The sequence below is a fragment of the Homo sapiens genome, chromosome 3 (assembly GCF_000001405.40).
Source record: "Homo sapiens chromosome 3, GRCh38.p14 Primary Assembly".
NCBI classification, from domain to species: Eukaryota; Metazoa; Chordata; class Mammalia; order Primates; family Hominidae; genus Homo; species Homo sapiens.
This window is the reverse complement of record NC_000003.12, coordinates 133,524,389-133,551,477: the sequence shown is the minus strand read 5'-3', so window position 1 is coordinate 133,551,477 and position 27,089 is coordinate 133,524,389. Positions and strand designations below refer to the sequence as shown.

Genomic DNA, 27,089 nt, shown 5'->3' with positions numbered 1-27,089 from the left:
TCCTGTGCCCACTGTCTGGCATTCGCTAGTGAGATGAACCTGGTACCTCAGATGGAAATGCAGAAATCACCCGTCTTCTGCATTGCTCACGCTGGGAGGTGTAGAACGGAGCTGTTCCTGTTCGGCCATCTTGGCTCCTCTGGTTTTTGTTTTTTAAAAATTTTTTGTAGCCATTTCCAGGAATCTTAATGACTTCAATGTCCTTAAAGCTCATAACATGGCTTTACTATCACCAGCTTAATTTTTTTTTTTTTTTTGAGATGGGGTCCCACTCTGTCAGCCAGGCTGGAGTGCAGTGGTGGGATCACAGCTCACTGCAGCCTCGAACTCCTGGGCTCAAGTGATTTTCCTGCCTCAGTCTCCTGAGTAGCTGGGATTACAGGTGCGTGCCACCATGCCCTACTAATTTTATTTTTTGTAGAGATGAAGTCTTGCTACGTTGCCCAGGCTGGTCTTGGACTCCTAGGCTCAAGTGATCCTCCTGCCTCAAGCCTCCTAAAACGCTGGGATTATACGTGTGAGCCACCACTCCTGGTTAAATTTCTTTTTTTTAAATTTAAAACATGTTATGGGAGAAGAAGAAGAGGAATTCTCTTCACCTCTACTTAAGGGGAGTGGCTAGTGCATGCAGGGATGTGAGAAATTAATGGCAGCCAAGTTTGGAAAGTTGGGCAGGACAAAAGCTGGTGATACTGATTTTTGATGGAAAAACAGTTGAGGTCTAGGGGCATGGCATGCCTCTAGAGGCCTGCAGCCTTGTGCAGTTGCCCAGGACTCTGCTCTCAGAAATGGCAGGATTGCTCTTGGACACTCAATTAAATGCTCTGTTGTCAGCCATCTTTAAATTCTTGATAATTTTTTAACAAGGGGGCTGGGCGCAGTGGCTCACACTTGTAATCCCAGCACTTTGGGAGGCCAAGGTGGGCGGATCACGGGGTTGGGAGATAGAGACCATCCTGGCTAACACACGGTGAAACCCCGTCTCTACTAAAAATACAAAAAAAAAAAAAAATTAGCCGGGCGTGGTGGCAGGTGCCTGTGGTCCCAGCTACTGGGAAGGCTGAGGCAGGAGAATTAGCGTGAACCCGGGAGGCGGAGCTTGCAGTGAGCTGGTATTGCACCACTGCACTCCAGCCTGGGCGACAGAGTGAAACTCCATCTCAAAAAAAAAAAAAATTTTTTTTTTTGAACAAGGTGCCCTGCATTTACATTTTGCACTGGGCCCTGAGAACATGATCATAGCTCTCTTATTCCAAGCCTCTTCACAAGGAAGATTTTTCCATTCCTTTAGAAAAGTGGAGGAAGGGAAAGACAAGGAGAAAAAGAAAGTATTTAAAAGTCCTTAACAGAAGAGTGGTGGGCTGGGAGTGAGGGGCAGGGCCTTATTTTTAGCAACCATTGCTCCAGGTTAGAACAGAGACAGTTGAGAAGTGTTGTTCTATTTACTGGACATTGACAAAAAACTTCTGGCTAAGAAGAGTGGTGTTACTGAAATGGGATTCTGAAGTCTTACAAGTTTACTTAGCCTTTCTAAGTCTCTGTTTCCTCCTCTAAAACAGTATATTAACCCTACAGCATGTTGGTGAGGATTAAGTGTTGGTAAAGATTAATACAGAAATCTATTTATTTATTTATTTATTTTTTGAGACAGGGTCTTGTTTTGTCACCTACGCTGGAGTGCAGTGGCGCAATCACAGCTCACTGCATCCTTGACCTCTAGGGCTCAAGCAGTCCTCCCACCTCGGCCTCCCAAAGTGCTGGGATTACCAGCATGAACAACTGCTCCTGGTCTGACTTCAAAGGAAATGATATGTCCTCTTTAAAGGAAATGATATGTGTACGGTTCCTGGCACATAGCAGTTACTAACACAGATTCTTGTTCATCAGTGGTCTTTGAAAGCTGGACTCTGGGAAGTCCATTCAATCGTTCGCTAAGTATTTACACATTAAGGGCCTATTAAAGTCACTGTGGTAGGCCCTGGAGGATCATGGAGCTTACATCATAAAAAGAAAGGCCCAGTTGACAACTCAAGGAGCTAACCCTCAAGTAGAGGTCATGAAACCAATGTATACATAATAGTGAATTGGTTCATTCAATACATATTTATTAAGCCCTAGAAAGATGAATAAGACACAGTCCCCACACTGAAGCCCACAGTCTGATAGGGAAGACACATTCCCCCAAATAATTATTCAAAGAAACTAGTGCTAATACAGGGATAAAAGCACTAGTGAAACTTTACTGAGAGGTTAGCTGTGTGGCAACTGATATTCACTATGACTCTTTGGTGTAGGTTTTATCATTGTCACTGCCATTTTTATAGATGAAGCAGACGTGATTTAGATAATTTATTTGCTTGAAATCAAGCAGCTTGCAAATGGTGGAGCTGGGATTGAATCCAGGGCTTTCTGTCTCCAAAAGCTATATATGTTATTATGTTGTGTGTGTGTGTGTGTGTGTGTGTGTGTGTGTGTGTATAATGCAAATAGATGGTATATATATTTACATACTAAATATGTTTCTACAAATGCATCTCACAGAAGAAGAATCAACCCATTCTGCTCAGGTAAATGGGGAAGGAAGCCCAGAGGGAGTGGCTTATGAATGAGTATAAAACAATTAGGACTTCAACAGGCAGAGAAAGAGGGAAGTCAATTCCAGGAAGAAAAAACATAATGTGCAAATATGTGAAGTTATGAAAATCCAGAGTGAGTACTTCAAAGAATAACAAGTTGGGCTGGGAATGGGGTGGCTCATACCTGTAATCCCAGCACTTTGGGAGGCCAAGGTGGGAGGGTCACTTGAGGCCAGGAGTTCAAGACCAGCCTGAGTAAAAAATAAAAAAATTTAAAAAAAAGGTTGTTTTGGAGCATCGAAGGAAAGAAAGTTCGTAAAACTTTATTTGGGAGATTCTGCAAGGCCTTCATATGGATTTTAAAGGATATGGAAGAGTTCCAAGGCCAAGTTCGGAAAGAAGACATGTTAGAGGAAATAAAAATCACTAGAAAAGCCATTAATGTGGGAAAATAAGATATCTGTTAGAGGATGAAGGAGTAGAAAAATTTTGAACGAAGTGTAGTCATGAGTGGTAAGTCTGAATAAGCCATGCTTAGAAATATTTTTGAATGCCAAGGCAAAGCCACATCTGTTTCATTTGACAGGCAGAGCTGAGGTCACAGTTGGCCTGAAGTGAAAAACCCGAATTCTTGCAGGGACTAGACAAGATTAGTGGTCTAGGCATAAAAATAATCAGGAGGCAACCATGACCCAACTCCAGCTCACACCACTCAAGAATACAGTCACCTGGCCAGAACCTTTGATTTTTCAAAAGAAGCAAAACAACAAAAATCCAAAAGCTTAGGTAAAATCTCATAATTTAAAATTTTTAGCAACTACTTAAAAATGTGTGCAGGTGGAACAAAACTTGTCTAAGTGCCAGATGAGGCCCCTGGGTAGCTACAGAAATGTCTGTTCTCCCCAGGTGTCTGCAGGACTAAGCTGTGGTGTGGAGAGCCGCTGGGCAGAGGTGGTACAGGGAGGATCAGAGAAAGCTCCAGCAAAAGGCTTCTGCTGCTCTAACTTTCTTTCTATCCTGATGAAGAAACCCAAAAGCATTCCTCTCTGAGGTATTTGCATTTTTGGAATTTCTTTCTATTTTTGTCTTTTGGAATCCTCCCTAGCACTGGTTTGCTGGGGAACTATGAACTGGGCCTGGCAGCTTGTGTTAGGCTGTTTTTGCATTGCTATAAAGAAATACTTGAGACTGGGTGGTTTATAGTAAAAGAAGTTTAACTGGCTCATGTTTCTGCAGGCTATACAGGAAGGATTGTGCTGGCATCAGGACTCAGCTTCTGGGGAGGCCTCAGGGAGATTTTATTCTCAGCAGAAGGCAAAGCAAGGAGCTTGCACGTCACACAGCAAACACAGGAGCAAGAGAGAGTAGGGGAGGTGCCACGCACTTTAGACAACCTGACCCAACACCTCCCACCAGGCCCCTCCTCCAACACTGGGGATTACATTTCAACATGAGATTTGGCAGGTACACAGATCCAAACCATATCACAGCTGGTTTTCACTTTTCAGGCTTCCGAACAGAAAAGTCTTATATAACCGATCTCTTTTCAATGGTTAGTTGCTTGTCCCAAGGGTGAAGACTCTTATAAGCATTGTGTGTGTGTGTGTGTGTGTGTGTGTGTGTGTGTGTGGTGTAGGAGCAGGGGAGAGAGAGGGAGAAAAAGAGGGAGAGACAGCTTCCTTCTCCTGAAGGACTTTCTCAAGATTAACAGCATATTCTGTGGCCTGAGCTTTCTGAACCTGGCAGGAGCTGACTCTTATGGGAACAGAACTCTGCCTGTCATAGTCTCAGGTTGGGCCACTGACTTAGCTCATAATCTTGACTGACTACCTTAGATATAGAGGCTATTAGCAAACCATTGTAGAGGAAAATGTTCCTTTATATTATGCCTGTGAACCTCCATGCACTGGGATGAGAGGTAACATAGGGGAAGAAATATTAGAATCCGTGGAGCTAGAATAGAATGCTTTATTTACTGGATTACCTTGGTAAAGTCACCTCACCTCTCTGTGCCTTATTTCCTACAAGCATAAAAGCTAGCCAGAAATATTCACCTCACAGAGGTATTATGAAGATTCTATGAGATCATGGACACAGAAGTGCCTGACACCTGGTTATGCTGGATCAGAGAGAAAAGAATGAAGAAATTGGAGCTAAGGAGATGTGGATTTAAATCTTGACTCCACGACTTATAACGACAACTACCATGAATTCAGTAATTTCTATGTACCAGGCTCTGTGCATTACCTTTTTTTTTTTTTTTTTCAGACGGAGTTTCGCTCTTTCGCCCAGGCTGGAGTGCAGTGGCATGATCTTGGCTCACTGCAACCTCCGCCTTCCAGTTTCAAGCAATTCCTCTACCTCAGCCTCCCAAGCAGTTAGGACTATAGGCACCCGCCATCACGCCCAGCTAATTTTTGTATTTTTAGTAGAGACGGGGTTTCACCATGTTGGCTAGGCTGGTCTCGAACTCCTGACCTCGTGATCTGCCCGCCTTGGCCTCCCAAAGTGCTGGGATTACAGGCGTGAGCCACTGTGCCCGGCCCTCTGTGCATTATCTTTAAAATCCTTGCAACGAGATAAATCAGCGGGCCGGGCTGGCGGGTCGGTGAGCGCGGCCCGGGCCGGACATGGCGGCGCTCTACGCCTGCACCAAGTGCCACCAGCGTTTCCCCTTCCAGGTGCTGTCTCAGGGGCAGCAGCTGTGCAAGGAATGTCGGATTGCACACCCTGTTGTGAAGTGCACCTACTGCAGGACTGAGTACCAGCAGGAGAGTAAAACCAATACAATATGCAAGAAATGTGCTCAGAACGTGCAGTTGTATGGAACGAGAAATTAAGGTGGACTGTGTTAAAAACACATTTAATAGGCCGAGCGTGGTGGCTCATGCCTGTAATCCCAGCACTTTGGGAGGGCGAGGCAAGAATCATGAGGTCAGGAGATCAAGACTATCGTGGCTAACACGGTGAAACCGCGTCTCTACTAAAAATACAAAAAATTAGCCAGGCGTGGTGGCATGCGCCTGTAGTCCCAGCTACTCGGGAGGCTGGGGCAGAAGAATCACTTGAACCCGGGAGGCAGAGGTTGCAGTGAGCTGAGATCATGCCACGCACTCCAGCCTGGGTGACAGAGCAAGACTCCATCTCAAAAAAAAAAAAAACAAAAAAAAAAAAACACATGTAACAAAGAAAGATTTCTCAGTTTCTTTCCTGGTTCTATTATTGACCTTAAAGAAGATATTCATATTTTGTTTTGTTCATTCATAAAATGTGGACCATTATATTCTAACATTTCACGAGAATATGAATTACAGTCATCACGTAAGTGAAATGGTGATTGCCAGAATTCTGTGGAATCCTGTAAAGGAGAGATTGTAACTTAAGCAAGATGGAGTGGCATTACCAGTTTTACTATCTGGCTCTTTAAATGTTTCTATCTGTTGAAATTCAAGATTACAAGATTACGTTAGAGGGAAGCTCTACGTGGAAGGGTAGACCTTGATAGAATCAAAATGATTTAGAGTTTGGGCATATTACTCTCTTGCTTAAAATCCTCCACGGGTTTCCAGTTGTGCTTAGAATAAAACTGAAATCCCTTCTATGGCCTGCAAGGCCCATACCCAGCTCTCAGTCTCATCTTGCATCATACTTTCTACCTCTCACCTTGCTCCAGCCATCCTGGCCACCACCCTGTAGTCTGTCTGACATGCAGATCTCACTCCGACCTTTGCACTGTCTGTCCTTGTGCCTAATGCACCCTTCTCTAGAGTCTCATAACTGGCTGATCATGTCAGGTCTCAGCTCAGGTACCACCTGCTCACAGTGACCTTTTACTGACTCCCTTAGTCATTATTTATCATACCATTTTATTGTCTTCATAGCATCTCACATATTGAAAACTAGTCTTGCTTATTTGGTTACATGTTTGTCCACCCCGACTAGAATGTGAGCTCTTTGTCCATCTCATTCTCTGCTTTATTTCCAGTGGCCTGGCACATAGTAGCTGCTCAATAAGTATTTGTTGAATAAAAGATGGCAGTTGAGAAACTCTTTTTCAGTGACCAGAGGTGCTTTTAAGAGGTGCTTGGGCTCAAGGGGTGACTCTTGCTTACCAAATTCATTAACTTACAATGGAAGGATATAACTTTCCATTGACCAGGATACTCCTGCCTGCCAACCAGGACACCTCTTCCCTGTATCAAGATACTGAAGAATCTTAATTAGTAATCAGGAGGTAGCACAAGCAGCAGTCCCCCAAACCTGGGTCCCATCTGACTCCTGGGGCTAGCTGAATGACCCTGGCTACTTGGCCGCATTATGCATCACTTTCTTCATCTTTCTCCATGGGAATAACAATAGTTATTGTCTCACAAAGACATGTCTCACAAAGACATGGGGAAATGTAATTCAGATAGGTATATAAAACAATAATATTGAACCTGGCACATAATATAACTCAGAAAAAAATAAATAAATAAAATCCTTGCAACAACTCAGCATGAATGAAAGAATCATGATTATTATCCTCATTTTACAAATGAGGAAACTGAGGCACAGAGAGGTTAAAATAACTTGCCCAAGGCTTCACACAGGTAAGTGGTGAAGCCAGCCTATCTGATTCCAGAGCTTGTACTTTCTAGCTATGTAATTTAGTATAAGCCCCATAAGTTTTCTTATCCTCAGTTTCTACAGCTATAAAATGAGGGCATCTTTGTGAGGATTAAGAATAATGTATATAGGCTGGGCGTGGTGGCTCATGCCTGTAATCATAGCACTTTGTGAGGCTGAAGTGGGCAAATCACTTGAGGTCAGGAGTTCGAAATCAGCCTGGCCAACATGGTGAAACCCTGTCTCTACTAAAAATACAAAAATTAGCCAGGTGTAATGGTGCATGCCTGTGATCCCGGCTAGTTGGGAGGCTGAGGTAGAATTGCTTCAATCTGGGACACGGAGGTTGCATTGAGACAAGATCGTGCCATTGCACTCCAGCCTGGGTGACAGAGTGAGACTCCATCTCAAAAAAAAAAAGAAAAAAAGGAAAAGAAAATTTAAGAATAATGTATATAAAATGACTGTCACGGCAGTTCCTGATATTTCATAGATATTAACTATTTTTACTAACTCCTCAGTGTTACGGATTGAATTGCATTCCCTTGAAAGATGTTGAAGTTCTAACCCGTAGTGCCTGTGAATGTGACCTTATTTGGAAATGGGGTCCTTGCAGATGATTAAGTGAAGATGAAGACATTAGGGTGGAAAGTTTGGACTCAGAGACAGAGATGCACACAAGGAAAAGGCCATGTGAAGATGAAGAGATTGGAGTGACGCGCCAACAAGCCAAGGAACAACAAAGATCGCCACCAAAACACCAGAGGCAAGGAGAGAGGCCGAGAACAGATTCTCCCTCATAGCCCTTCGAAGGATCCAAGCCCATGACACCTTAATTTTGGACTTCTACTCTCCAGAGCTGTGAGAGGATACATTTCGGTTATTTTCAGCCACCCAGTTTACGGACTTTGTTATGGCAGCCTTGGGAAGCAAATGCACTCAGTACATGTTAATTTGTATCTTACCTACTTTGTACTTGCAAGGTGTCTCTGGGTCTCTGGTGTACACCACGGCCTGCCCTTGAGCATGCTGGGGTGCTCAGCACGGGGGTAGCCCTGCAGCCTGACTCTCTGTAGACAGATCAGGATCGGTCTAACATGGAATTATGAAGTGGAGCCAGGGTCAGCTTTGGGCCACGCCTGCCTTCTGTGCCGGCCTTGGATTATGTTCAAATTCATCTCATGCTACCCCAGCAGAAAAGAGTGTCTTCAATAAATTCACTCAAAAGGAGGTACCAGTGAAGAAATTGTCCCTCCCAAGTGAATGAGTCACACCCAAATGCTAAGATCTGATTCCTTGGTGCCTGGTTGGGAAAGATTTTGGGGTCAAGGAGGGGCCCACCCAGACTCCCACACCTGCGTGCCCTGTAGGCCATGCACCCCGCGTACTGTTCTCTGCACAGATCTCATGCTGCCAGACATCAGGGATCTTTTCTAGCAGAGAAGGCTATGTAAGCAGCCCAGGTAAACACCTCAGGCCTTCACAGAAATAAGGGCCACCTCAGAGAGCATTTGGAAATAGAGAGGTTAGAGGACCCAAGGGAGTCCAAGGGACTTATGGTTAAAGCTTGGAAAACAATTAGAGTTGGAATGCTCACCCAGCAGCAGCCAGGGGACCTGCCCAGCACTGCTCTCCAGAAACTCCAGGAGCAAAATTCTGTTAGGTTGATTTTCAGGAAAGGAAAAGAAATCCCCAAACAGAAAGATCATCACAGCTGTCTAAAACAGGGTAGGTTGGGCGCAGTGGCTCACACCTGTAATCCTAGCACTTTGGGAGGCTGGGGCTGGAGGATTGCTTGAGTCCAGGAGTTTGAGACCAGCTTGAGGAACATAGGGAGACCCCGTCTCTGAAAAAATTAAAAAATTAGCTGGGCATGGTGGTGCACACCTGTAGTCCCAGCTACTTGGAAGGCTGAGGTGGGAGGATCGCTTGGACATGGGAGCTTGAGGCTTCAGTGAGCTATGATCACACCACTGTACTCCAGCTTGGATGACAGAGTGATACCCTGTCACACACACACACACAAAAGGTAGATCCACTACACGATGTATCCATGTGACAAAATTACACTCGTACCCCATAAAAGTTTTTTTTTGTTTTTTAAATTTTAATTATTGTTTACCCCATACATTTATATAAAATACACACAACAGGGTGGAGAACATGATCCACTAATGTCCCCTGCTTCTGTTGGGGTGTAACAAACAACCTGTATAAGATATCTCTTGTTGGCCAGGTGTGGTGGCTCACGCCTGTAATCCCAGCACTCTGGGAGGTCAAGGCAGGCGGATCACCTGAGGTCAGGAGTTCGAGATCAGCCTGGCCAACATGGTGAAACCCCGTCTCTACTAAAAATACAAAAAAAAAAAAATTAGCCGTGGTGGCGTGCACCTGTAATCCCAGCTACTTGGGAGGCTGAGGCCGGAGAATTGCTTGAACCTGGGAGGTGGAAGTTTCAGTGAGCTGAGATTGTGCCACTGCACTCCAGCATGGACGAGAGAGCAGGGCGCCATCTCGAGAAAAAAAAAAATCTATTATTGTTGTTTAGTAAATTATCCCAAATTTAGCAGCTTAAAATAATACATCACAGGGACAGGATTCCATAATCAGCTTAGGCAAATAGTTCTAGCTCAGAAGCTCTCCTGAGGTTGCAGTTGAGCTTCAGCTGGGACTGCAGGCAGCTCAGGGCTTGGCTGGGGCTGGAGGGTTTACTCCCAAGATGGTGTCCTCACATGACTGTGTGTAGGAGGCCTCAGTTTCTTGCTGGCTGTTGTCCAAATGTCTCATTTCCTTACCATATGGGCATATGGTGACCAACCATCCTGGTTTGTCCAGGATTGAGGGAGTTCTCAGGATGTGAGACTTTCAGTGCTGAACCGGGAAAGTCCTGGGAAGTCCTGGGAGGAGTTGGTCACACTATGTGGGCCTCTCCATGGTGCTGTTTCCAACAGGAAGAGGGATCTGAAAGAGTGACCAAGACAGAAGCCACAAGGTCTTTTATAGCCTAATCCAGGAAGTAACACACCGTGCTGTATTCTATTAGTCACACAGGCCAGCTCTGGTACAAAGTGCAAAGGGCTTATAAAGTGGTGTGAATACCAGGAGGTGGGGACCACTGGGGCCATCTTGGAGGCTGGCTGCCACATTGCCCCCAAACCTAGGCTTAAAACAACAATCATTTTAGTATCCCTCATATCTGTGGGTTAACAGGACTCAGCTTGGCAGTTCTTCTGCTCTCCATGATATTGGTTGAAGCTGTAGTCAACTAGGGTTCAACATGGCTGGAATCCAAAATGACTCACTTGCCAGGCTGGCAGTTGGTGCTGGCTATTGGCCTGGAGCTCAGCTGAGGCTGTCAGCAGGAGAGTCTTGGTTCTCCTCCATGTGGTCTTTCCACATGGAATAGGCTGGTAATGAGAGAGAACATCCCATGTACCCCTGAACTTAAAAGTTGAAGGAAGGCTGGGCGCAGTGGCTTGTGCCTGTAATCCCAGCAATTTGGGAGGCTGAGGTGGGCAGATCACTTGAGGTCAGGAGTTCGAGACCAGCCTGGCCAATATGGTGAAACTCCGTTTCTACTTAAAATACAAAAATTAGCCAGGTGTGGTGGCGCGTGCCTGTAATCCCACCTACTCGGAAGGCTGGGGCAGGAGAATCCCTTGAACCCAGGAGGCGGAGGTTGCAGTGAGCCAAGATCATGCCATTGCACTCCAGCCTGGGTGTCACAGCAAGACTCTGTCTCAAAAAAAAGAGTTGAAGGGAAAAAAAAAAAAAAAGAACACCCCAAGGACAGGCACTGTAAGAGGAAGGAAACAGAAGCTACCAGTCTTCCTGAGGCCTGAGATTCAGATGTCCTTGAACATCTTATGATGCGTTCTATGGCCAATGCAGTCACAGGCCAGTCCAGATATAAGGAGAGGGGAAATAAACACTTTCTTAAAGTGAAGAGCAGCATATATATGTGTGTGTGTGTATATATGTGTATATACATATGTATATATTTGTGTGTGTACATGCATATATATACACACTACATATACATGTATTTTATATATATACACATGTACATATACATCACACACACACATATATATGTGGAGGGGAGGAATTACTCAGGGCTACCGTACACTTTAGAGATTGCACTTTGGGATCTCTCATTGGGAAATTTACAAAATCCCCAGAGGCAGAGGGGTAGTTCAGGCACTCTCAAATTCCTAGATCTGTAACCCTTGCTTTGTTTTTTTAAAAAATATGTTTTAATTAAAATATTATGTAAGATAAAAATTACATAGGAAACTGATGTTCACTATAGAAAAATTAGAAAATACAGTTAAGCAGAAGAAAGAAGCTATCATGCCAATATCCTGAGATAATCACTGTATATTTTTGGTAGATAGCACCCTGGTATTTATTCTATGCAAAAGTGATACTTTTATTTAAAAAAAAAAAACTACTCTGTACATACTGTTTTGGAACCTATTGTTTTCACTTAAAATTACAGTTGGAACATCTTTTCATGACAATTCATATAGAACTACATCATTAGTTTAAAGGTTGCATAGTGTTTTATTGTATGTATGCAAACCAAGATTCTTTTTTTTTTTTTTTTTTTTTTTGAGACAGAGTCTCACTCTGTCGCCAGGCTGGGGTGCAGAGGCACAATCTCGGCTCACTGCAACCTCCGCCCCTTAGGTTCAGGCGATTCTCCTGCCTCAGCTTCCCAAGTAGCTGGGATTACAGGTGCCCACCACCATGGCTGGCTAATTTTTGTATTTTAGTACAAAAGGGGTTTCACCATGTTGGCCAGGCTGGTCTCGATCTCCTGACCTCAGGTGATCTGCCTGCCTTGGCCTCCCAAAGTGCTGGGATTACAGGTGTGAGCCACCACGCCCGGCCTATACCAACCAAGATTCTTGATTTTGACAAGAGAAGCCAATACTGGTTAAGTCGGTCAGCCAAAAGAAATTTTTTGGAAGTATTTTGGATAGCCCACAGAATCTATCATATGTCAGTTAAGTGTTCCATTACCTATGGTAGTATAATAATTCACCAACCTTAGGTGGAGTAAAACAACCACCATTTCATTATGCTCATAAATTCTGTGTGCAAGAAATTCTAACAGGGCATAGCAGGGATGATGCCACAATGTCTGAGACCTCAGCTGGAAAAACTCAAACTTGGAATGACATGAAAGGCTGGGGTGCGGGGAGGGGGAATGGAATCATCTGGGAGCTTCATCCATATGTTTAGGGTCCTGGGCTAGGAGAACCTGAACCCTGGGCTGAGCTGGGACTCTTGACCAATGTACCTACATGTGGCCTCTGCATGCAGCTTGGGCTTCCTCACAGTGTGGCAGCCTCTGGGTTGTCTAACTTCCTTTTTTTTTTTTTTTTTTTTTTTTTGAGACGGAGTTTTGCTCTTGTTGCCCAGGCTGGAGTGCAGTGGTGGAATCTTGGCTCACTGTAACCTTCACCTCCCAGGTTCAAGTGATTCTCCTGCCTCAGCCTCCCTAGTAGCTGGGATTACAGGTGCCCACCACCATGTCTGGCTAATTTTTGTATTTTTTAGTAGAGACAGGGTTTCACTGTGTTGGCCAGGCTGGTCTCGAACTCCTGACCTCAGGTGATCTGTCCACCTCAGCCTCCCAAAGTGCTGGGATTACAGGCGTGAGCCACCACACCCAGCCTGGGTTGTCTAACTTCTTCCAAAAGGTTGCTTGGTGTTCTAGAGGCTAACATTCCAGCAAACAAAAAGGAAGATATGTGGCCTTTTATGACCTAGCCTTGGAAGTCAATAGTGTCACTTTCACCATATTACATTGATCCAAGTGGTCATAAGTCTGCTCAGGTATGAAGGGAGGGGACATACTCTACTTCTCAATGGGAGGAGTGCCAAAGAATTTGTGGCCATGCCCTAAAGCCACCACAATTAGGGTAAGGTTAGCTGCTGTAACAAAGAGACCCCAACCTAGAGTGGTTTAATGAATACAGTTTCTTTCTCTCACACATCATAGTTCCAATGTGTGTCTCTCACACATCACACTTCTCATAGTCTAGCTTGGTAAGGCGGCTCTGAACCACAAGACATCTATGCCCCTGGAAGCTAGGCTCTACTACCAACATGGCAATCTCGAAAGTCACTCATGGTCCCTCTGTCTTTGTGGGCAAAGCCTTAGGCAGGAGTGTCTCACTCAACCACACTCAGCTCACATGCCTGTACCTTGCCTGCCAGGGAGCAGGGAGTGAGTATATCTGCCTTCCTCCTGATTCTGTAGTGAAAAGCAGGAGAGCTTCCCTACCTTAGAATTTCCCCCTAAGAGGAATGATGATCAGATACTTTATATCTTAATAAGCAGCTAATATCCAGCAGAATATGGATGTATAATATCCCAACATTGCATCCCTTATTGTTACATATTTAGGTTGTAATGTGCTATTGATAACATGATATTTGTCCTGTTGCAAGGAACATTTTTCTATAAATATCTTCGAACACTTGCAAGGTTTTTTTCCTTTAAGATAAATTCTGAGGAGTCAGGTCATAGTTTCTGATTCTGCATCTAGTCCTGTAGGATCCCATTAAAGACATCATAAACACACACACACACACACACACACACACACACACACACACTTTTTTAAAAGTCAGGATGGCAACTCAGGAATTTGTATGAGCCTCAGAGAGAGAGTGGAGAGATCCAGCATGCACTTTCTTTTTTTTGTTGTTTTGAGACAGTCTCGCTCTGTTGCCCCGGCTGGAGTGCAGAGGTGCGATGTCGGCTCACTGCAACCTCTGCTTCCTGAGTTCAAGTGATTCTCCTGCATCAGCCTCCTGAGTAGCTGGGATTACAGGTGCTGGCCACCATGCCCAGCTAATTTTCGTATATTTTTAATAGAGACAGGGTTTCACCGTGTTGGCCAGGCTGGTCTCAAACTCCTGACCTCAAGTGATCCGCCCACCTCGGCCGCCCAAAGTGCTGGGATTACTGGCGTGAGCCACCGCGCCCAGCCAGCATGTACTTTCAAGGGTGATCCCAGGCTTAGGTGTTGGAGTCTCCATGATCAAAACCCACTCCTGTTTATGAAGCGCTGTGAGAAGGGCTTCACATATGCTATCTGTAATCTTTACATAAATCTGATGAGGAAGGTATTATTTTCATCAGGTGGATGGAGAAGCTGAGGTTCCAAGAGATTAAGTAACTGGTTCAAGACCCTAGAGCTGGAACTGAATTCCAAATCCGTACCTTGAACCACTTCTTCCCTCTTAGAACACTTGCTCTTAGGATACTCCTGCTCAAAGCCCAGCTGCTGTATTGCTATATTGTGGGAAGCTCAAGCCACACGAAGAAGCCAGGTGGAGACATTTCAGTCAATGGCCCTAGTTGAGCTCCCAGTGAACAACCAGCCATCTGAATAAGTCATGTAGGGCTTCTCAGCCCAGTTCAGCTCCCCCATGGCTGCAGCCCCAGCTGACATCACAGGGAGCAGAACTGCTCAGTCAAGCTCAGCCAATCCAAAGAGTGGTGAGAGTGAATGTGATGGTGGTTGTTTTAAGTTACTATGTTTTGGCAAGATTTGTTACACAGCAATGGATAACCAAAATGGGGAAGCTACTTATTCTTGGATGAGTCCCAGCAGAGTCTGAAGAGGAGATTCCTTTCCTGGGGGAGTGGCTGGAGTAGGGGACCTTCAATGGCCTTGATGAGTTCAGTGCACAAGGCTGGGTCTGTGTATGGTGCTTTTTCTTGTTCCCTGCCCCAGCTGGGAACAACTACATTGAGTCACAAGGCTTGGGAGGAGAAACTGTACATGAATGAGTTAACAGAAATCTGGGCAAGATTCCCAAAGTAAATAATGTTGATTCTCAGCACAAAGGAAGCATTGCCTAATGCTGCTTAAACTCACATAAACAGTCATTGCTTCATGGCTGATTTGCTATTTTTGAAATTTTCCAATTTCAAAAAAGTAGCCATAATAAGCATTATTAGAAAAAAATAACAGCACTTAGAAATGCTAAACACTGTACACAGTTGCTGAGGGGCATAAGAGGGTCCTTGTCCTTCAGGACCAGTCTTTATAGTTCTGTGCACAGGGAGTGGTGCCCAGATAACCTTGAAGCAGCCCCAGCTGGCACCTCGATCTGAAAGCAAATCCAGCTTCTCCCTCCCATTCAGAGAGCAGAGAAGGGTATTCACAAGGGCACAGGAAGGTGGTGGCTTTTTGGTCTTTGTCAGCCTCCCTCATTTACTCTCCCATCTCTCACCTCTCAGTCCTTTCCAGCTAGTGGTGCTCAGATTTTAGGGCATCAAAATCATTTGGAAAGTATGTAAAAAATGCAAAGCTCAGGTTCTCCCTAAGAAGATTCCCATTCTATAAGTCTGGAGTGGGGTCCCAGTATTTTTTGTTTTATTTTATATATTTGTTTTATTTATTTATTTTTTTGAGACAGGGTCTCACTCTTGGCCAGGCTAGAGTGTGATGGTGCGATCATGGCTCACTGCAGTTTCAACCTCCCAGGCTCAAGTGATCCTCCCACCTCAGCCTCCTGAGTAGCTGTGACCATAGGTATGTGCCGCCAAGCCTGACTAATTTAAAAAATATATTTGTAGAGATAGGGTGTTGTCCTATTGTCCAGTCTGGTCTTGAACTCCTGGGCTCCAAGTGATCCACCTGCCCTGACTTTCCAAAGTGTTGAGATTACAGGCATAAGCCACCACACCCAGCCCAGAATTTTCATTTTAGTAATAACCAGGTGATTTCTTCTGAAAGTAGGCCCCATGCCACAGTTTGAGGAGCACTGTAACCTCAGACTTTCCCCAAAAGCATGTCATAGTGATGGGAAGAACCTTCTTCAAGCTATTCCTACTTCCAGGGACCAGATGGATGAACCTTGGAGAAAGAAAGGGAGAAAATAGGGTCTTCAGATTCCATGCAGGGAAGGATCTAACAAATTCATTTGGAGCAAGTAGTTTTAAAACTGTGTTTTTGGAACCCAGAAGAGTCCTCAGAAGTGCTGTCACTTTTACCCCAGCAGTTTATTTTAATCTGTTTTATTATAGTGGGTTTCCAAGAAATATTTCATTAGAAGAAAACATTTGATTACTAAGTGGCCTCCCTGCTTTAAAAAATTCTCCTTTTGGCTGGGTGTAGTGGCTCACACCTGTAATCCTAGCACTTTGGGAGGCTGAGGCAGGCAGATCACCTGAGGTTGGGAGTTTGAGACCAGTCTGACCAAAATGGACAAACCCCATCTCTACTAAAAATACAAAATTAGCCGAGCATGGTGGCACATGCCTGTGATACCATCTACTTGGGAAGCTGAGGCAGGAGAATTGCTTGAACCTGGGAGGCGGAGGTTACCATGAGCCAAGATCGTGCCATTGAACTCCAGCCTAAGCAACAAGAGTGAAACTCCATTTTTAAAAAAAAAAAAATTATCCTTTTGGCAACAATGTGGGGAAATTGGAACCCCCTTACATTGCTGGTGGGAACATAAAATGATGCAGACACTATGGCAAACAGTTGGGCAGTTCCTCATAAGTTTACCTTATGACCTAGCAATTCTACTCCTGGGTTTATACTCAAAAGAATTGAAAACAGGTATTCAACTGAAAACCTGTAATGTTCATAGTAGCACTATTCACAATAGCCAAAAGGTGGAAACAACCCAAATGTTTATCAACTGATAAATGGATGAACAAAATGTATCTATCCCTACAATAAAGAGTTATTCAGGCATTAAAAAGGAATGAAGTACTGATGCATGCTACAATATGGACGACCCTCAAAAACAGTGTATGAAGTGAAAGGAGTAAGACACAATGGGCCACATATTGTATGATGCCATTTATGCAAAACATCCAGAACAGGCAAATCCATAGAGACAGAAAGCCAACCAGTGGTTGCCAGCGTCAGGGGGAGGGGGAGGCAATGAAGAATGACTGCTTAATGGATATAGGGTATCTTTTGGGGATGATTAAATGTCCTGGAACTAAGTAGTGATAATGGTCGTACAACATTATGAATGTACTTAATGTCGGTAACAGTAAATTTTTTTTTTTTTTTGAGACGGAGTCTCGCTCTGTCTCCCAGGCTGGAGCGCAGTGGCACTATCTTGGCTCACTGCAAGCTCCGCCTCCCGGGTTCATGCCATTCTCCTGCCTCAGCCTCCCGAGTAGCTGGGACTACAGGTGCCCGCTACCACGCCCGGCTAATTTTGTGTATTTTTAGTAGAGGCGGGGTTTCACTGTGTTAGCCAGGATGGTCTCGATCTCCTGACCTCATGATCCGCCCGCCTCTGCCTCCCAAAGTGCTGGGATTACAGGTGTGAGCCACCACGCCCGGCCGGTAACAGTAAATTTTAATTGTATTTTTACCACAATAAAAAAAAATCCTGATAGACAGATCTAGAACAACCATCTCATTTTTTACTAACAAGGAAACTGAGGTCAGACAGCAGAAATGATGGCTGTGTGTGGTGGCTCATGCCTGTAATCTCAACACTTTAAGAGGCCTAGTTGGGTGGATTGCTTGAGTCTGGGAGTTTGAGAGCAGCCAAGGCAACATGGTAAAACCCTGTCTATACCAGCAAGAACAACAACAACAACAACAACAAACAAAAGAAAAAACAACAAAAAAGAAACAGAAAGAAAGAAAATAAAAGCAAAAAAAAAGAAAAGAAAAGAAAAAAAAAAGAAAATGACCTGGCGAGATCATTTAGAGGCATCTGTCCACATAGTGGTGAAACCACAGACAACCACCTGTTAGAGATGAGGCTAGGACTGCTGACCCCCTAGCCCACCACAGCAGTCTGCCTTTCTTCCTCAACCTCCCCCTCCCCAGAACCCCCTACCAAAAAAGCTAAGTTTCAGGGGCATGCAAAGGCCTGAGCTGCGTGCCACTCCATAGTTTCTGTAAAGGCCTCCTGCCTCCCAGGCAAATGTCCACCTTGCCCACCCACAAAGCAGTTGGCCAGCCTTGTTTCTGCTGTCTCCAATGCCTGTTCCCTGCAAGTATGTTGAATGAAAGACAAACCCATGTCTAGCTTCATGTTTAAGTAAATCTTCCCAAGGGCCTCACCCACAGCTGCAGCTGTCTGAGCGGGTTGATAAGGGTTGGGTGGATCGGATTCTTTACATTGCAGACATTGCTCAGTTTCCCAAACTGCAACTGACCCGATAGACCGGAGGAGCTGGCGATGGTCCCAGGAATGGCTAGGATTTATCCTTGCCATACACATTTGTGGGCATTTGGCTCTTCTCTCTGACTAGGACCATATACATCTGTCACATAGTAGATGCTTAATAAAGATTCATCAGTGCCTGTGGTTTTTGTCTTAGAGTCATCCTGGGAATGTCTTCTTCATTCTAGTTAAAAGAGTTCAGGAAAAGGCCTGCTTTCTCAGTGTTCCTGAGACAAAAAGATTCAGGATAAGCCTATATGAGAACTGAGAGTCATTTTATCTGGTCAGTTTCTGAGATAGAATTATTGACCATTCTGGGAGGTGACAACAGAAAGGAATAGCTCATTCACATGCGTATTACAGGTGAACTTTGGGGCCAAGGTCTTCTGAATATATGCATAGTCCCTTTCCCAGAGTCTTAGGGTTTTGCTAAGGCTGTTTGGTCTGCCCCAGATCCTGACCTTTCCTTATATCTCTTAGCTACAGTCTCAAAACATATGATGGGTTTTTAAAGGAAGTTCATTAACATACAAGAGGGCAATAGCAGGACCTAAGAAAGCCAGCTATCTTGAAATTTACTGAACTCAGCAGCTGAGAGACCTGGCTGAGATGGGAAAGCCAGCTTTGCCTACCTGTGTTCAGGGCCTGCTTCAGGACGGGAATAGGAAGGGAGAATTCTCTCTGTCCTGACAAGATGACCCTCTTCTCTTAGCCTCAGAAGACTACCTAAAACCATGAACTTGGAGGTTTGCTTCATTCAGAGGGGATGAATGGGGACACTGTGGAAGACTGCGGAGCAGCAGTGAATGGAGTTCCTTAAGTTACTATTTAGACTGAAGTAGGAAAGGAGAGAATTTCTACAATGCAGTGATTGGGGGTGAATGCAAAGTTGAGGCTGACCTCGGTGGTTGTCTGTGGTTTCGTCACTACGTGGACAGATGCCTCATTTCCTGATGCAGCCTTTCCCAGCTGGATGGTCTCCCAGGAGCAAGAGGTTTAGGAAACTCTGCAGATTCCATCCTTCATTGGATATTTCAAAGTGTACCACTCTGTTCAATGCTCTGAGAGGTCCTGCATTAAAGAAACCTGCTTTGGTGTTATTTAACGCAATGTTTCCCAAAGTTATTTGATTCCAGCATTTCTTTTGCCCCTTCATAACATTCGTACTACTTGAGAGCTAAGTTTCTAAGAACACACTTAGGAAATGCCACCCTAATGCCCAGTGCAGTTGGTTCTGGCCCTGTATGCCTTGCAGTGTGCAGTGATGGTTATTTGGGCAGGACATGCAATGATCCTGCTATGATCATCCAGGAAATATAATCATTTATCATACCTGTCAGGATCCTTTCCAAACTGAGATTTTATTATAATTATTATTATTATTATTTGAGACAGAGTCTTGCTCTGTCGCCCAGGCTGGAGTGCAATGGCACAATCTCAGCTCACTGCAACCTCCGCCTCCCAGGTTCAAGCGATTCTCTTGCCTCAGCCTCCCGAGTAGCTGGAATTACAGGTGCCTACCACCATGCCCGGGTAATTTTTTGTATTTTTAGTAGAGACAAGGTTTCACCCTGTTGGCCAGGCTGGTCTCGAACTCCTGACCTCAGATGATTCACCTGCCTTGGCCTCCCAAGGTGCTGGGATTACAGGTGTGAGCCACCACGCCCCGCCGAGATTTTATTATTGTTCTCCGCACCAACAAAGGGAACCACTGACATTTATTGAGCATCGTGCACTAGGAGCTTTTTGTATGTTATCTCTGTAATCCTCCCCTGGACTCTATTATCCCCATTTTACAGATGAGGAAATTGAGACCCAGAGAGGAGATATAAGGACTTCACTCAGGTAAGTATGTGGCAGTGCCACAGGATTCAGGCTGAGGACTGTGGGGCTCCACACTGGTATTCTCTCCTCACCTCACTAACAAATTGCATTTTCATGGCACGATTTTCAGAGTGCCTGATTTCTGTTCTGCTCTTGGGGAATCCCAGCAAATCCCATGAGGAATTTGTTTGGACTTAAGTGAGACATTCGAATGTAGAGGCCACCACAGGCAGCTGAAAGCATTTGGAGTCTAGGAGAGAGGACAAGACTGGAGAAAATAAAATTCATCTCAGATGTCAGGTCACCCAGAGGGAGGGCAGCTCTGGCAGTGAATTCAGCTGTTATCAATATCAGCAAGTCTAAGGTTCTTTCCTTCTGTCCACTCTGCCGTGCAGGATGGTGGTGGCAGGTCCAGATCTCACAAAGTTTGGAAGAGGGAGGGCTGCTGATTTTTGCTTGTTTTTGTTTTGTTTTTAGTCAAGAAACATTTCAGAGAAACCCTTCTACTGGCCAGCAGATTTTTCTCTCACTTCTTATTGGCCTGAACTGTATCATGTGACCAATCCTAAACCAATCACTCACCAGGCAAATGGACTGCAAAGATTAGCTTAGACCAGGTAGGAACTATCCCCTCTGACTGGAGCTGGGTCAGATTTCTTTTTGTATAGGAGAAAAGCAATGGATATTAGGTAGACGACTAGATGCTTCTTGTGTGTGTGTGTGTGTGTGTGTGTGTGTGTGTGTGTGTGTGTGTGTGTGTTGGGGTCCGGTTTGGGGAGTATGAGAGAATAACTGTTATCCACTGTGTCCTTGAACCTCCTGCCTTGAACTGCTTCTCATCCTGTCCAATCTCTCATTTTCCTTTCCTTTCCTGTAGTTAGATGATGTTATTGGTCCCTATTTATCATCCCTTCCTGTATCCACATCCTTTGCAATGTAACTTGGCAGTGTCTTCTCTCTGTGAATTCCACCTGGCTCTAAACTTTGGGTTTGGTTATGTCAGTAATGCAGAAGTGAACACACTTGAGTTCTGCACTTAGGTCTCAAGAGACCTCAGGTGTTTCTGCTTATCTTTGTACACCTCTGCCATCACCATGAGAAGAATATGGCTCCCCATAGCCCACTAGGGAACATGGGGAACAGAGCTGCCCCGGACAAACCCAGCCTAGAGAAGATCCTCCAACCAACCCACAGATGCATGAGTAAGCTCAGCGTAGATTGGCCATACCTCAGCTGACTCACACAAGTGAGCTTAACAATCAATAATAATTGTTAAGATGCAGAGTTCTGGGGTGGTTTGTTACATAGCAGTAGCTGACTGATACACTCCCCACACATCCTCTTCTCTCTCCCTGTTGCTCTCATTTTCTGTGGCTGTTTTTTATCCTAGACTTTGACAATTTCAGAAATTATTATAAAGAAGTTAAACAACAGTAATTCTGAAACAAAGAAGGGAGAAAAAAGTCACCTATAATTCCAGTCCTGTAAACAGCAACTGTTTTCATCTTTGTGTTTCCTCTCGGTCTTTGACTCTACATATATATAGACAGACTCTGATTTACAATGGCTTGGCTTACAATTTTTCAACTTTACTATGGTGTAAAAGCAATACACATTCAGTACTTAGTCAATAAATTCCATAAGATATTCAACCCTTTTTTTTTTTTTTTTGAGATGGAGTCTTGCTCTGTCACCCAGGCTGGAGTGCAGTGGCACGATCTTGGCTCACCACAACCTCTGCATCCCAGGTTCAAGTGATTCTCCTGCCTCAGCCTCCTGAGTAGCTGGGATTACAGGCATGTGCCACTGCACCCAGCTAATTTTTTGTATTTTTAGTAGAGACAGGGTTTCACCGTGTTGGCCAAGCTGGTCTTGAACTTCCAACCCAGGTAATCCGCCCAGCTTGGCCTCCCAAAGTGCTGGGATTACAGGCGTCAGCCACAGTGTGCAGCCTTTTTTTTTTTTTTTTGAGACAAAGTCTTAGTCTGTCACCCAGGCTGGAGTGCAGTGGTGTGATCTTGGCTCACTGCAACCTCCACTTCCTGGGTTCAAGCGATTCTCCTGCCTCAGCCTCCCGAGTAGCTGGGATTACAGGTGTGGATCACCACACCTGGCTAATTTTTGTATATTTAGTGGAGATGGGGTTTTGCCATGTTGGCCAGGCTAGTCTCGAACTCCTGACCTCAAGTGATCAGCTTGCCTTGGCCTCCCACAGTGCTGGGATTACAGGTGTGAGACACTGTGCCCGGCCAATATTCAACACTTTTAAAAACAATTTTTATTTTGATTTTGAGACAGGTGTCACTCTGTCACCCAGGCTGGAGTGCAACAGCACCATCATGGCCCACTGCAGCCTCGACCTCCTCGGCTTAAGTGATCCTCCTGCTTCAGCCTCCTGAGTAGCTGGGATTACAGGTGCACACCACCACGCCTGGGTAATTTTAATTTTTAAAAAATTTTTTGTAGAGACAGGTTCTCCCTGTGTTGCTCAGGCTGGTCTCGAACTTCTGGGCTCAAGTGATCCTCCTGCCCTGGCCTCCCAAAGTCTGGGATTACAGGCCGAAGCCACTGTGTCCAGCTGTGACCGATTCAATTGAGGGAATGCAGTGAAAGTGATACTGTGTGACTGGTCAGAAAATGCCATGAAGCTGCTGCCTGATTCTTTCTCCTGGGAGAGTCAGCCACAAAGTTGAACTACCTCGAGATCACCATGCTAGAGAGGCCACAGATAGATGCTCTCCAGGATAGCCCAGTTGAGTTCCTGGCCAACAGCTAACACCAACTGGCAGCCATCTAGGATTTTTCAGCCCAGTCGAGCCTTTGGATGTTCCAACCCTAGCCACTAAGTCCTCGCAGCCATAGAGTCTTCCCAGCTGAAGCCCTACCCATTGAGGAGCAGAGATAAGCCACCCCACTGTGCCTTGTCTAGATTCTTGACACACAGAATCCATGGATATCATTAAATGGTTATTTTAAGCTGCTAAATTTTTGGGGTAATTTGTTATAGGCAACAGTAACTGGAACAAACTAGTAACATTTTTATGACTCCTGTTAAATTTTACAAATTGCTTTTTGTTGTCACCAACCATATCTGCATGCACGAGTTTCAGTAACACATTTTGCTGGCTTTGAGCCTTTTCACTTTAAAAAATGTCCATCCAATGGGGTATCCTCATATATTTTCATGGAATTTTGGAATTTACTCTCTAGCTGAAGGACATAAACACAGGTGATTGTCTCTTTACGTCTTTGGACATCTGTAAAATTCATTCTTCTTGGGGGGAGTTTTTTCTCCTGAAGGAATTTTGTTTATCTTGGATTTGAAACAGAGCTCTGATACTTATTTGCTTAGTAACTTTGGGCATCTGAGTTTCAGTTTCCTCATCTGTAAAATGGGATAATAATCTTCTGGTTTTTTTCTTCTCCTTATTTTTTTTCTCTTTCTTCTTATTTCTGTCTTTTCCTCTTTCTTTCTTAATTTCTTTCTTGCTTGTCTTATTTTTCCATTTTCTCATAAAACCCAGACTCTTATATTAATTTTCCCTGGAAGATCCTTAAAACTCTGCCATGGATCCTCCCTAAAGTGGCTTGAGAGGCACTGACGTTTTTCCAGTAACAGAGACCAGTAGAGAAGGTGGCTGCTGATTAATTCCATGTCAGCCAGGGCGTCCTGTGCTCTGCATCTAGAATAGGGCAGTTTCCAAGGTGACCAGGACTAGTGTGTGAGGATAAGGTGAGGCCCTGGAGTTATGAGCTGCCAAACTCATAAACCACACAGGCTTCCCCTGAGCCACGCGTTGCACACTACTCGCCAAGCAATTTAACAACTGACTTGAGGCAAAATGTTCCAACAACATTTAATGATCAGTGCAGCTATAAATAGGATCATAGAACAATTTGGATAGATATTAATATATGGGTTCAGCACTGGAGTGACTAAACCTTGAGTTGTTTTGACCTCAGAGAGCCATCAAAAATGTGCTGCAAGGAACAATTCTGTGGTTGTCTGTGGCAGATGTTTTGTTCCTGTTTGACATGTCCTTGTGTGTGTAATTTACTAACATGATAATAACCTGCTGTTTGGCAGTTTGCAATTTACAAGGTGCCTTTACACACATGTTCTCATTTAATCCTTGGAAGATACGCACTATTACTGAGAATGGGGGGAAACAAATAACTTGCTTCAGGACATCCAGATCAGGACACAGAGAGGGGAGTGAGGTGGGATGATGGTGGTGGTGGTGATGGTGATAGTAGACTCCAGATTTGAGACAAGGACTGTGTGGCTCTCAAATTGGTTTTCCCTCCTTATTTCACCAAAATCCTGATGTTCTTATTTAAAAGACTTGGAATAATAATTCCTCTCCTATCTTCACAGAGGCCAGCCCATTTGGTTCCAGCACCCAGATCTTTCTTTTATTACTTCACATTAAAAGTGGGCTTGCCAGATTTAGTAAAGAAAAATTCAGGGCACTCAGTTAAATTTAAATTTTATACAAATAATAAATAATATTTTAATGTAAGTATGTCCCATGGTGCATTTTATCTGGCAAGCCAGTTAAAAGCATTGTTGGCTGGGCACGGTGGCTCACGCCTGTAATCTCAGCACTTTGGGAGGCCGAGGTGGGCGGATCACTGAGGTTGGGAGTTCAAGACCAGCCTGCCCAACATGGAGAAAACCTGTCTCTACTAAAAATACAAAATTAGAGGGGGGTGGTGGCGCATGCCTGTAATCCCGGCTACTTAGGAGGCGGAGGCAGGAGAATTGTTTGAACTTGGGAGGCAGAGGTTGCAGTGAGCCGAGATCGCACAATTGCACTCCAGCCTGGGCAACAAGAGTGAAACTCTGCCTCAAAAAAAAAAAGAAAAAAAGGCATTGTTATTAAACATTTTTCCCCTAAAAAGTAATGTGGGATTCTTACAGAAAATTATGAGCCTAGTGCGGTGGCTCACTCCTGTAATCCCAACACTTTGGGAGGCCAAGGTGGACAGATCACTTGAGGTCAGGAGTTCGAGACCAGTCTGGCCAACATGGCGAAACCCCATCTCTACTAAAAATAAAAAAATTAGCCGGGCTTGGTGGCAGTCACCTGTAATACCTGCTACTCAGAAGGCTGAGGCAGGAAAATCACTTGAACCTGGGAGGTGGAGGTTGCAGTGAGCGAGCCGAGATTGCGCCACTGCACTCCAGCCTGGGCGACAGAGCTAGACTCTGTCTCAAAAAATAAATAAATAAATAAATAAAATTATGAAAAGCCAGATAAACAAAAGGAAGAAAATAAAAATTACTCTTAATTTAACTAGCTGGCAACAACTGCTGTTAATATTTTGGATAATTACTATGACCTTTTTTCTCGTGCATATATTTATGTGTAAAAATTTTTTAAAAATAGAAAGTGAGATTTGCTGAATATATTTGCTTGATATTAAGTAAATATATATATAGTGATATACTGAAATATATTCAGTAAGTCTCACTTACTTACTGAAATATACTCAGTAATTGAGACTTATTGAATATGCAGACTTGCTTTTTTTCACTTCCCTATATGTCACAAACATCTTTCCATGTCCTCATGTGTTTTTGTAATATTCAAGTGACTGCAAGGTCATCAGTTGGACAGCATACTGTGTTTAGCTAATCCTCCATAGTCAAACCCTTAGATTGTTTCCAGTGGTTTATTATTACAGACCTTGCAATAAACAATCTTCACTAAGTCTCTCTGCACATCCCTGGAATACATTTCTGGCAGTAGAATTTCTAGGTCAAAGGGTAAGCAAACTTTTAAGGTTTTTGTTATATATTGTCAAATTGTTCTCTGGAAAATTTGTGCCAAATTATATTCTCACAAATAATATCTGAACATGCTTATTCCCTTGCACATTGTCAACACTTGGAGTTATTAAAAACAAAAAAGAGAAAAATCCCACTTTGATTTTGAATCTGCCCTGATTCCATAACCATACTCAATACCCTGTAAGCTATGTTTAGTGATCTCATTTCTTTCTACCGAGTCTTCAATTCAAAAAGAGGGGAATGGACTAGATTAGGGACAGAAACTAGCACTGTCCCATCACATGCTCATGCCAGGCATCATTAATCAGTCTTGGCTAGGTGTGGTGCCTCACACCTGTAATCCTACCACTTTGAGAGGCCTTGGCAAAAGGATTGCTTCAGGCCAGGAGTTCAAAACCAACCTAGCCAACATAGTGAGACCCCCCCCAACCATCTTAAAAAGAAAAATCAGTCTTGGCACTCTTTCTACTGGACTTGGACAAAGCTTCAGAATCTTGTTCATCCCAACCTTGCAGGTAGCCATTACTAAATAAATTGCTTATTAGAGGAAATTTAATACAAGAATTTAGGCCGGGCATGGTGGCTCACTCCTGTAATTCCGGCACTTTGAGAGGCCAAGGCAGGCAGATCACCTGAGGTCAGGAGTTCGAGACCAGCCTGGTCAACATGGTGAAACCCCCCTCTCTACTAAAAATACAAAAATTAGCTGGGCGTGGTGGTGCGCGACTGTAATCCCAGCTACTCAGGAGACTGAAGCAGAAGAATTGCTTGAACCCGGGAGGTGGAGGCTGCAGTGAGTTGAGACCACGCCATTGCACTCCAGCCTGGGTGACAGAGTGAGACTGTTTCAAAAAAAAAAATTATATTTTTTTAGGTGTGATAATAATATCATGTGTATGCTTTTTAAGAAAGAGTCCTTGTCTATTAGAGCAGTAGTTTTCATTTTTGACGTTTTACCCCCACACCCCCAGGGGAGATTTCTGGAGTCATTTTTGTTTGTCGAAACAGCGGGGGACGGGTGATACTGGCATCTAGTGGGTAGAGACCAGGAATATTACTGAACGTCCTACAACACACAGGACTGTCCTCTACAACAAAGAATT

General features: G+C 44.2%; 1 pseudogene, besides 2 other annotated features; it reads left to right on the top strand.

Moving 5' to 3' along the window:
- FAM76AP1 (FAM76A pseudogene 1) lies at positions 5,206 to 5,407 on the top strand (annotated as a pseudogene).
- Positions 9,936 to 10,055: an enhancer, noted in NCBI's record as "active region_20550". NCBI's record gives its function as "activates an Ori minimal core promoter by ATAC-STARR-seq in GM12878 lymphoblastoid cells {active_cell/tissue: GM12878}" and the evidence as "EXISTENCE:reporter gene assay evidence [ECO:0000049][PMID:35858748]".
- Positions 10,166 to 10,225: an enhancer, noted in NCBI's record as "active region_20549". NCBI's record gives its function as "activates an Ori minimal core promoter by ATAC-STARR-seq in GM12878 lymphoblastoid cells {active_cell/tissue: GM12878}" and the evidence as "EXISTENCE:reporter gene assay evidence [ECO:0000049][PMID:35858748]".